Source organism: Homo sapiens, chromosome 4 (assembly GCF_000001405.40).
Source record: "Homo sapiens chromosome 4, GRCh38.p14 Primary Assembly".
NCBI lineage: Eukaryota > Metazoa > Chordata > Mammalia > Primates > Hominidae > Homo > Homo sapiens.
In genome coordinates, this window is record NC_000004.12 from 37,442,502 (window position 1) to 37,454,069 (window position 11,568).

Below are 11,568 nucleotides of genomic sequence, written 5' to 3' on the forward strand. Positions count from 1 at the left end.
GCTTGGGCCTCAGTTTCCTCTCCTATTAAATGACACTGTAATCTCATCTACCCTTCAGAGAGATAATGTGAGGACTGATGGCTACATGTATATAAAATCAACTATCTGTTACAAAGCACAACGTTTAACAAAGCTCTTTTAACCACCATTCTGTGGATTTTATAACAGATAAATAATAATCAAAATTATGACCCTATAACACCATAAAATTATCTCTAAATCATAAAAGATTATATTCAAAGTAATTTCAGTACTGAATATTTTTATTGCTTTCTAATTAATTGGAAATTTGGTCAGCCATATATGACATTATATGCTCTCAATTAATGCATATATTTAACTTAATATAATATGTAAATCATTACTTATCCATTCATTAAACACTTACAAAGGACCTACTGTGTGCCAACAACTGCACCAGGAAATGGGTATTCATTCAGTGATACAAAGCTGACCATACTAGATATTTGTATTTATAATTCATGAAACACCTTGTATCTTCTGGAATACAAGCTAAATATTGCCGAATGAGTGAAAAATACTATTATTGCTACTTTAGTACACTCAGTAGGGGTAATCCTGAGGGTCTCACCTGTAGATTTTGGTACACAAGCTTCATGGCAGTTCTTTGGCCTTCTCAGAGGGTTTTTCCAATTTTTGGTCCTAAGCTATTTCCTGCACAGCAGAGGAGACCAGAAATCTGAGCTCTGGAGAGAGGCAATGTTATCACATATGACCATGTGAATACATATTACCATTCTAAACTCCACTTTTGTGTTTCAGGCTTATGGCTGGCTACATGAGGACACAGGACCAGAATCTGACCCAGTAGTCATCGTGAGATTTCTAGGAACGACAGACATGAGCTCTGACCTTAGGACTCTCCTTCTAAGTGTTTGTGAACAATTGGCAGTTAACTACCGGTGTCTGGTTCAAAGCTACCCTAAGAAGATCCATGACCTCTGTGACTTATTTATAAATCTTTTGAATGAGTCTTCACTGCAGAGACCTCTAGTCATAATATTCGATGCACTAGAGCAGCTCTCAGAGAATGATGATGCCAGGAAGCTTTGGTGGCTCCCAGCTCACCTGCCCCGCTTTGTCCGGATAGTCCTTTCCACGCTGCCCAACAAACATGGGATCTTGCAGAAACTAAGGTGCCTTATCCATGAAGAAGACAACTACATCGAGCTGATTCCCCGAGACAGGAAGATGTGCAGCCAGGTCCTCAAACACCAGCTGCTGCGCGTCAAAAGGAAGGTCACATCAGGCCAGCAGATTTATGTGAACAATGCATTATCCAAGTGCACACTGCCAATGTTTGTGAACCTGACCTTCAGGGAGGTGAGGCACTGGAGATCTCACAAAGACGTCGATGAATCCTCCCTCTCTGTCACCGTTCATGAAAGTATAGAGCAGTTATTCTGGTCCTTGGAGAAGAAGTGTGGTCAGAAACTGGTCTCTAGGGCTCTTGGTTACATCACCATGGCCAAAATGGGTCTGAGTGAAATGGAACTGGAGGATGTGTTAGCCCTAGACAACAGTGTAATGAGTGAGCTCAAAGAAAACACCAGACCCAGCAATCCCCTGAGAGTACCTTACTTGTACATTGCAAGGCTCAAGGAGGGTCTCAGTGGATACCTAATAGAAAGACATGTGAAAAATGTCACACTCCTAGTCTGGGCCAACAGACACCTGCAGCTCATAGCCCAGAAGCTATATCTGCAGGATGACAATGACCTGCGTGAAATGCACACCATCTTAGCAGATTATTTTCTGGGGGTTTGGTCAGGGGGCAGGAGGAAAGCCTTCTGCCTTGAGGACCCCTACTTGAATGGCTGCCTTGACTTGGAGAACAGAAGTTTGCTGGAGGAAGAAAAGCACTTCATGGAACAGGCTTCCTTTGACAGGCAGGCTCCAGACCAGCCCTGGGTTTTCCAGTGTAATCCCCTGGAACCTGACATCTTTTTCGTTAATCATCGGAAAATGTCTGAGCTGTTGTACCACTTGACGAGGTGTGGAAAAACCGATGACCTGCTTTACGGCATCATCATGAACTTCAGCTGGCTTTATACCATGATCAAAATTGGCCAGTTTGACAAAGTGCTTTCAGACATTGAGCTGGCTTACAACTACTCGCAAGAGAAGGAGCTGAAGTTCCTGGCCAACACCCTCCGCAGCATCAAAAACAAGGTCACTGCATTTCCCGGCTCCCTTTCAGCAGAGCTTCAGCAAAGACTGCTGCCTGTTGTAAGCTCCCTGCCCAAACTTAGACATCTTCTTTTAGAGTGTGATAAAGATGGGCCCAAATATTGCTCCATTGTACCACTGCATTCATCCATGGATGTGACATACAGCCCAGAGCGTCTTCCCTTATCATCCAGTCACCTGCATGTCACAGAGATCCTGCCTACCTGTAACCCCAGCACTGTCCTCACAGCTTTAGAAAATGGTTCCATCAGCACCTGGGATGTAGAGACTCGACAGCTACTCAGGCAAATCACCACAGCCCAGTCTGTCATCCTGGGCATGAAACTCACCAGTGATGAAAAGTACCTTGTGGTGGCTACAACAAATAACACCTTGTTGATTTATGACAATGTCAATTCTTGCCTCCTGTCTGAAGTAGAAATCAAGGGGACCAAGCATGGAAGCAGCGCCACCTACATCAATGGATTTACACTGTCCGCCAACCACGCCCTTGCATGGCTCGAAGCCAGCAAAGATGTCACTGTCATCGATCTGCTGTACGGATGGCCGCTTTACCAGTTCCACTGCTGGTATGAAGTGACGTGCGTCCAGTGCTCCCTGGATGGTCTGTATGCTTTCTGTGGCCAATACCTGAACACAACCACCATATTTCATTTAGGGAGTGGAGAAAAGTTATGTACAGTGACATCAGAATTTTCAGGTGGATTTGTGAAGTTTCTTCTTATCTTGGACACAGCTCAGGAAATGGTCATGGTAGACAGTGAAGGAAGTCTTTCTGTTTGGAATACTGAGGACATTTCCAGCCCCCAGCTGACTGATGACTTTGATTGCCGAAGAGAAGACAGTGAGGTGGTCAGCATTGAGCTTTCAGAAGACCAAAGTGCAGTTCTGATCTGTAAAGCCCTCAGCATTGAGCTCTTAGATACTGGTCTGTGGAAGGTGGCTGAAAAGTTCAGAGCCAAGCACAACGAACGCTTTATATCTGCCGTGCTGTCTAAAAATGGAGATTGTATCATCGCCACCATGGAAAATACCTCAGCTGTGTTTTTTTGGAGGCGGGACACAGGACAGTGTATGGCAAGCTTGCAGGAAATCTCAGGTTCCATTGTTAAGTTAGTGAAATCCAGTCACCACAATATGCTACTGTCTTTATCAACCAGTGGTGTTCTTTCCATTTGGGACATAGATATAATCACAGCTATGTCCAACATAGATAAGACTGGAAAACCCATCCAAAGTCTGTTGTTGCCTGCTAGAGGGGAAATCATTTACTCCCTGGATGGATCCGATTGTGTTCATAAGTGGAACTTCAGCAGTGGCTTCATCGAAGCAGTATTCAAGCATGAAGGAATAGTTGAACACTGTGTGTTAACATCCACCGGAGATATAATGGTGACATCAGATGACAAAAGCAGCCAGTATGTCTGGCACACCAGCAGTGGTGAAAACCTTTTTCGAATTAACGGGCAGAGAATATCTCAGCTGCTGATTACACACAATGACCAGTTTGTGGTCTCGCTCTGTGAGGAAAATGCCTCCAGGGTTTGGAGGCTCGCCACAGGCCACAGGGTCTGCAACATTCTGACCACTTTGCAGAATGCCTTTATTACCTCCGCAAATACCTTCGTGGTGGGAATGACTAAAAGCAAAGTGTTGGCAGTCAGTCTTTGGACAGGAAGTATCACCAAGAAATTTTGCTGTGAAGATGGGACCACCATCGTGAATTTTAAATTAATCCCTGACTGTCCTGATATCATCGTGTTTATCACATCGGCCGAGACTGTGAACATCTGGAGTCTGACAGATGAAGTGATCTGTCGGCGCGTGCAACTTCCAAACAACTTCTTGAAAAATCTGGAGGACTTTGAAATTTCTCCCAATGGAAAGCTAGGCATTATAGCCAGGGGAGATGAAAACATCAATGTGCTAGATTTATACAGTGGTAAATTGCGGGTGGTTCACGCCTCTGGGATCATCTGGCGGCAGAGGTTGTCTCGGGATGGTCGCTACCTGGTATACATTTGTTTCCGAAATGGGGAGGAGGAGGATGAAAATGGTGCAATATTCAGTTTAATTGTAATGAGACTGGCAGATGGCAAAAATATCGGTGCTTGTTCCCTTTACAAAACACCAACTTTCCTTGCACTCTCCCAGAGGCACCTGAACATCATTGTGGGCTTTGATGATGGGAGTATAGGGATCTACACGGTAGTAGACCGTGTAGATGCTGCACTGAAAATCAAAATTGCCACTTCAAATAGCAGACAAATTTTCAACAATGCAACACACACCTCCAGGCCAAAGTGTAACAGTTATTGTTTTAAAATATCTGTGGATTGCTTATGGAGAGAGTCCACTGAGGTCTTTGCAAGAGACAGCCCCATCACAGTTAGTGACTCTACTGAGTCCAATGAAGCAACACCCTCCAAGAAACACAACTCTTGTTATGAGCGGGTATGCTCGGCCCTAGAAGCCAGGGGCCACAGCTATGCCCCTGATAACTGACAAAATGTTTTCCAGCTAAGCAGAAATATGTGATCCACGTACAGAAGGGAAAAAAATGTGCCCCAAATGATAAACTATTCATTTATTAAAAGGCAGGAGCGATGCTGGAATTCCAGTGTTTTATTAAGATGTTCATGAAATGGACAAATAGGTTAGTCTTGGGTGTGGTCTTTTTGTCAAAGTGTATCCAGAATGTCAGAATTTCTAGTAGTAATATTTAAATGGTTACTTCATCTGAAAGGCAGAGGCTAAAAGTTTTTAAATTAGCTGTGTGGTGAGGCAGCATAATACATCCCACTGGTTAAGATGAGAGAGGCTAGAGTTATATACAGATCATTTGGATGGGAATTAGTTCTACAAAAATCAGCTGAAATCATGAAGACAAAGAGCTGCTTGACTTCAAATGATTGTGTGATAAGTAAACACAGCCTTAATCTCTCTTTACATTTTACAGTCCTGACAACTGTGTACACCTAGTCTGCAGTGAACGGTCTAAAGGTGCAAAATATGTAACAAAAATACCCAAGTGTATTCCCAGTTTCCCGAGAGATATGACCTGAAACATGAGACTGTGGACTGGACTGGGACAAGAACTAACTACCACTATCATAGGGCTACTGAACATGGAGAGTCAGTCTTTATTAAAAGACAGTTGCAACAATTGCATGCGAGGGTTTCTGTATAACAGAATATATGATTTTTAAACTATTTCCTGGGTTGCAAAAGAACACATTTAGTAAGAAACAACAATCTTTTCGCATCTTTTTGAAATGCATATTTGTGCTGGGTGTAAAGAAGATTACAGGAAGGGCATTACAAATCTGGTCAAAACACCTGTCCATTTCCATCATTGTACTAACAGAAGTCTGTACTATTTGGTCAGTTTGTATGGAAGCATAAATATTCCCTAAATTCCTGCAGTTAGTCTTCATAGAAAGCAAGCTTTCTCAACATGCCATCTCTGAGATACTGATGACGTTTGCCTTACTCACATTCCTTCTCTTTCCTGTGTAAAATGCAGATAGATGACCAAATACTCTGGGATAAACTGAATATGCCTGTCTTTGTGCTAAAATATTCCATAAATCTTAAGGGTGTCCAAAAGTTCTTTATTGTCCTTGTTTGTAATCACTTTCTTACTTCTACACACCATCTGTATGCTTCTTTATCTGTTACTCTTCCTGATTGAGGACTCTTCTGAGCCTTTTATAGTCCTATCCATTTCAAAGCAGAAGCTGTGGAATGGTATTAAATATTTTTTAAAATTAATTCACCTGTTTAAAAGAAAACATTGCATCTCAAAAGGTGAAGATGATTGTTCTTTCTTCCATATCCTCCTTACGGCATGTCCTTGGATAACTTTTCAAAAGGTATCCACACTTTTGGTTGAGTTTAGTTTTCTTAGAAAGTAGAGAAGTAACACTTTACTAGAATAATGAACAAGGAATTGATTTGCTCTAGGCCCAGCTCTGCCATAAACTCATTGTGTATTCCTAGACAGGTCTTTAACTTCATCAGTGTGTTGTTTTTGTGAAGTGCAAAATAAAGATAGTGATAGTTTCTGCTGTAGCCCTCATAGGGACATTGGGAAGCAGTATAAGAAAAACTTCAGCAACATCATGATTATTGATGCTAATAGGAAAAATAAATTCATGTAACCCATAGAGAATCCAGGTCAATTGTATTTCCTCTTGGAAAGCAGTTTAACATGTAAGCGTTCAAAGATGTGATTCAGATAAAAATACCCAGGTCCATAGTGAAAGATGTTTTTCAGTATGTTACTTATGGTTTAGCTACTAGCCAGGGAGGTGGTAGCCCAGAGAAGGCAAACCACATACAGATCACCTGGAGTTGATTATATGAGTCTATGCTTTTGAGCTCTTTAGGCAACACATTCTCATTCCTGTCATTATCAGTTGAACCTCCATGCCACACATTTCTAAGAATTAAATGCCTAGATGGATTAAATGTAGTATGTGAATGTTCTATGTAAAAGCCAATAGAGTATACAAGTGACTTGAATGATTTTTCCTAACTTGTTTGCAACTGATAGCTCATATTGAATGTTTTTATGTAAACTTTGTATCGTTGGGAAGAATTACCCAATCAGAGATTTATATTTTCATAAATGTTACATTTAGTTAAATTTTGTTACAGAGTTGTTACACTAGAAAATTATTTCAGTCTTCAAACAATATACAGTCTTGTGTATGTATTATTTGTATGAATAAAAGATAAACTACTTAGATTGGCGTGCTGTTTTTCTCCCCCATTTTTGGCAGATGTGATTAGAGACCTTCAGTAATAATAATAACTGTTCATGCTTACTGCTTATGTTGCACCAGGCACTGTACTTGGAGCTTTGCATGTACTAAGCCATTTAAACTTCACAACAGCCCTGTGAAGTAGGTACTGTTAGCATTCCAAATGTATAGGTAAAGAAACCTAGAAACGGGTCCAGGGAGAATAGCTGAACAAGATTTCAGTGCACTCTCAGTGTCTTTTTCCTTAACTTTCTCAAAGTACATCAAAACAGAGCATTTAGTATCTAGTAGGCACTTAGAGATCAATAATGACCTGCAAGGTGTTTTCTAACTTGCAGGTGGGAGACTGGGCTAGCTCTGAAGATCACTGAAATTTGCTGCAAACTCTCACGTTTTTCAGGTATACAGAAATAGTTGATGAATTCATTAATAGAAGGATGGGGAGGAAGGAGAAGAAGGGTGATGACTGAGGAGTTGTCTCTCTCATAAATTCCCTTTGCGCGAACGAGCAGGACCAAGGGGAGCCTTCCCACATGCCCTTTCTTCCATCTCTTGCCTCTTGGATCTGAGAATCCACACACGCACCAAAAAATATTTTTAAAAAACAGAAACAGAGGAGTATTGGTGAGCTTAAGTGATGATACATAGGAAATAATCTGAAAGCTAGTATCTAGTTGTCATGAAATAATTGTTCTCAGAGAAACTTTAATGTGTTACGAAAATAAATTATTCTGGTTTATTGCCTGCATCACATGGCTGAGACTAACGTGTTCAAAATTTACCACCACTGAAAACAATTCCATTACTTACAAAGGGTAATATCTTTAGGTTGAAAAGGCTAAACCCCTCTCCTTTTAGTTCTCAAAGAAAATGTAGAGAAGTTAATAAATATTTGCAAAAAAGCATTTCAAATAAATAGAGTTTGTTTAAATATCTTCTTTCCTAGAGCCAAGAACACAACAGTCAACACTGTATGCTTGCTATGCCCAAGGCATTATGCTAGATCCTGGAATGATTTGAAAAGTCACGCATGACTCCTGCCATCCAGAACCCTACAGTCTAGAAGAGACACAGCTAAACCAGATGAGACTGATTTCAAAGTTAGTAAGAGTGAGAGCCAGGTGCTGAGGATACACTACAGAGGAGCAATTAACACTACCTGAATATCGAAAAGGTTGACCCAGAGGAGATAGAGCTGAGGCTAGAAGAATAATTAGGACTTAGCTGTCAATGTCAGAGAGACATTTCAGGTAAAGGAAGCTGCATGAGCAAAAATGGGCATTGAAGCATATTTCAGGCGACTTCAAATGCTGTTGGGATTTTAGACTTTATTCAGTAGTCAATAGTGTCACTGAAAGCCAGGGGCCCAGCCTAGGTCCTGTTGCTCACTACACAGAAAGCCAATCACTAAGGCAATGAGTATTGTCAGGGAAGAAGGCTTTATTATGGGTGATATCAGCCAGAGACAGGAGACAAGACTCAAATCTGAATCTCCCCTGGCTAAAGTTGGGGTTTATATGGGGGGAGAAAACAGGCAGGGCAAGGAAGAGGAGTTGCTCAATAGGCAGCAGGTGTCTAGCATCTCACTGTAACCTCCTATAGGAAAACAGGAATTAGGGAGGGTTAAGGAAGAGGAATTGGTCAACAGGCAGCAGGTGTAAGTTTCTCAAGCTTCAGTGCTATGGGCATTTGGCTTGTTGGAAAATTGCGCTGGTTTCAACAGGGAGCTGGGAAAAAAAGTTTTGGGGAAGGGCAGTTACTTTGTCAGATGGCTTTCAGATGGAAAAGATCAGAAGCTGGGAGACCAGTAAAGACCATGGCCATGATCTCAGTTAGAAAGTGTTAGAACCTGATCTTAGAACCTGCTTAGAGTAGGGGCAATTCAAGATTTATTTCAGGGCTTAATGGATAGAGGTGTTTGATGAAGGGGAGGGAAAACTCAAATAATTCCAGTTCCAATTGGAATTGAGTAGATAGAATTACAAATGTAAAGTGAACAGGGGATGAAAGTGGGGGAAAATCACAAAACAAACTTGGACCTAGAGAGTTTAAAAGTAAGACATCCATCTAGCCCATTAGAAATAGTCTATCTATCCCATGGAGAAAACTCAAATAAAAACCCACTCAGTTCTTTCTTTCTCAGTAAGGAGATTGCAATGGATTGCAAGGAGCCCTTACTGCAATGCCTAATATGGTGTGGGGAGTTTTTTGGGCTATAACATAAACGGATACCATAATGTTTTTAATGTTGTTTGTTTTTTAGAACTCTTTCACAAATTTGGAACCATGTTGATAAATCCACTCAAAAAAATTAGCTTTCCTATCTTTCATGACTCATTGGCTGGGAACAATTTACATGTCAGTGAAAACATGGGCACACCTAAAAAATGAAGTGAATCATGGTGTTTTCACCCTGGTGTGCATCAAGAAACCATAGGTTTTTCTTCCATATGTTTTACAAGGGCCCCTCAGATCTCAATTTGGCATTCCAAGAGATCTGCAAGAAGTACAGATTACACGTTGTATGGACACATGGAGGGTTCAGTTTCAGTGTATCAACATGACAGATTACATAAAACTGGTAATCTAGGGATACAAATAAAAGCAGCACCTCTAGCTTTATAGAATGCCAGCCCTTACTATTTAATAGATGAGGGGAACTTCGCCAGCTACCTGTGCATATTCAGAGCAACGGTTCGCAAACTGGAGTAGGTACCACTTGCTAAAACACAGATTTCTTCACCCTCCCTCCCCAACTATTTCTGAATCAATACGTCTGGGGTGGGTCCCAAGAATTTGCATTTTTACTACATTCTCTCAGATTATGCCGATGCTATTAGTCTAGGAACTGCACTTTAAAATCTAAGGCAGGCTGGGGCGCGCGGTGGCTCAGCTTGCAATCCCAGCACTTTGGGAGGCCGAGGCGAGCGGATTGCTTAACCTCAGGAGTTCAAGACCAGCCTGGGCAAGTTTAGGAGAGCCCACCCCCACCCTAGTCTCCACAAAAATAATAATAATAATAGTAATAATAATAATAATAATACAAAAATTAGCCGAGCATGGTAGCATGAGCCTGTAGCCCCAGGCACTCCAGAGGCTGAGGTGGGAGGATCCCTTGATCCCCAGAGGAGGAGGTTGCAGTAAGCTGAGATCGCATCACACTCCAGCCTGTGTGCAACAGCCAGACCCTGTCTCAAATAATAATAAATAAATAAATAAAATGAAACCCAATACAAATACCAACCCCTTTTTCGACAGATAACCTACTTGATAAATGTATCAATATCCTGTAGACAATTAAGTGTCGACTATAAGTTGGACATGAGTGCCGTTCATTGTGACAAAGGATGTAAAACCACATATAACTTCCTGCAAAAATCTAACACTTTACAGCGTGCAATCCCAGCACTGCAAAATTAGAAGGATTCAAAAAATGGAGTGTTCAAATTCTCAAAAGCCTGGCAAATATCATGTGAATGGGGCTGGCATCATTAAAGTAGATACATTGAAAACCCAAGGACACTATGTCCATCCTTAGATAATACTCTGTCCAGATGCCTCTCCAATATCCTATTTTATTCTCTTGCTGGATGAGTTGAAAAGAAGAGAGAAGAGGGTAAGCTAGGTGGCGCAGTTGCTTAACACTTTTTTTGGCAAGCTCAGCATTTGCTTTGGAGCACAGGTGAAAAGAATGTCCAGTCCTTAAGCAGAGTCAGTTCTCCACCCGCCTTAGGTATATGGATTGTAACAGCTACGAATGTGGAACTCAGTAGATTGGATGCAGTCTTGTGGCCAATGCCCTAAGACCTCAGGAAAAGAAAGGGATGGAGGGGGAGTGGGTGAGGAGGGGACGGGGAACCAGGAGTTCATTGAACTCCCCCTGGGGCCTTTAGGGTGCAGGCGAGTGTGTGCAACTTCCCTGGTTTTTATCGTGGTGGTGGCGCCCCCGCTGTTTCTAGGTCCATGTAGCTCATACAGGGCTGGCCATGGAACTCACAGCAGGTCTAGGCGGCGAATGCCAGAAATAAGGAGGAAACTGAAAAATGCCAAGTTCTCGGGGTTTGGGAGTACACAACTATTTGCCAGCGGGTGCATTTGTTTTGTGTATCCCCGTACTCCAGTCCCTTGATCATAGGAAGCTCCCTTCTCTCCAGCGCAACATTGGAGTAAGCACCCCGGAGTTTCCCGTGATGGCAGGCGGTTGGCGCGGTCGTTTGTGCTCAGAGGCCAACAAGCGCGTGGATTTTCTGCTTCAGTGCGCCCGGGACTGCCACCCCGGCCCCGGGGATGTCGGACATCGTACTCCAGGGTTTCGAGCCCTAGCCCCGCCGCATCCTCGGGGCGTGCAGGTAAAGGGTTACGCGTGTCGGGAAGGCTCACCCGCAGCCCGGGCCACGTGACGCGCGGGCCCAATGACAGCGCTGGGGCGGCCGCTGCGAGCTCGGCGGGCTCAGGGCAGCGCGGAGCCGCTAGCGTCTCCCGGCGCGGCTGCCCGAGGCCGGCGAAGCCATGGGCGCCGGGACCCCGCCGCCGCCGCCGCCGCCGCCGTCTGGCCCCAGGTAGGGACAATCCCCCGCCCCGCGCGCGC

At 43.0% G+C, this 11,568-nt stretch overlaps 2 protein-coding genes across 4 annotated transcripts in view; both read left to right on the plus strand.

Annotated features, from left to right (window-relative positions):
• NWD2 (NACHT and WD repeat domain containing 2) overlaps window positions 1-6,962 on the plus strand; it is a 204,721-nt gene extending 197,759 nt beyond the window's left edge. Inside the window, exon 7 of the mRNA NM_001144990.2 lies at window positions 784-6,962. Coding sequence (NP_001138462.1) covers window positions 784-4,716 — 3,933 coding nt within the window. The 3' untranslated portion in view covers window positions 4,717-6,962. The remainder of the gene's footprint in view (window positions 1-783) is intronic.
• Window positions 6,963-10,753: 3,791 nt separating this feature from the next.
• The window catches only part of PGCKA1 (PDCD10 and GCKIII kinases associated 1), a 140,256-nt gene continuing 139,441 nt past the window's right edge, over window positions 10,754-11,568 (plus strand). For 2 of the 3 annotated variants that reach the window (XM_011513712.3, NM_001104629.2), the window contains exon 1: window positions 11,424-11,539. The gene's annotated coding sequence lies outside the window, so the exon portion shown is untranslated. Of the gene's footprint in view, window positions 11,330-11,423; window positions 11,540-11,568 lie in introns of those variants that run through there. The other variant, XM_011513713.3, reaches the window with a different exon arrangement.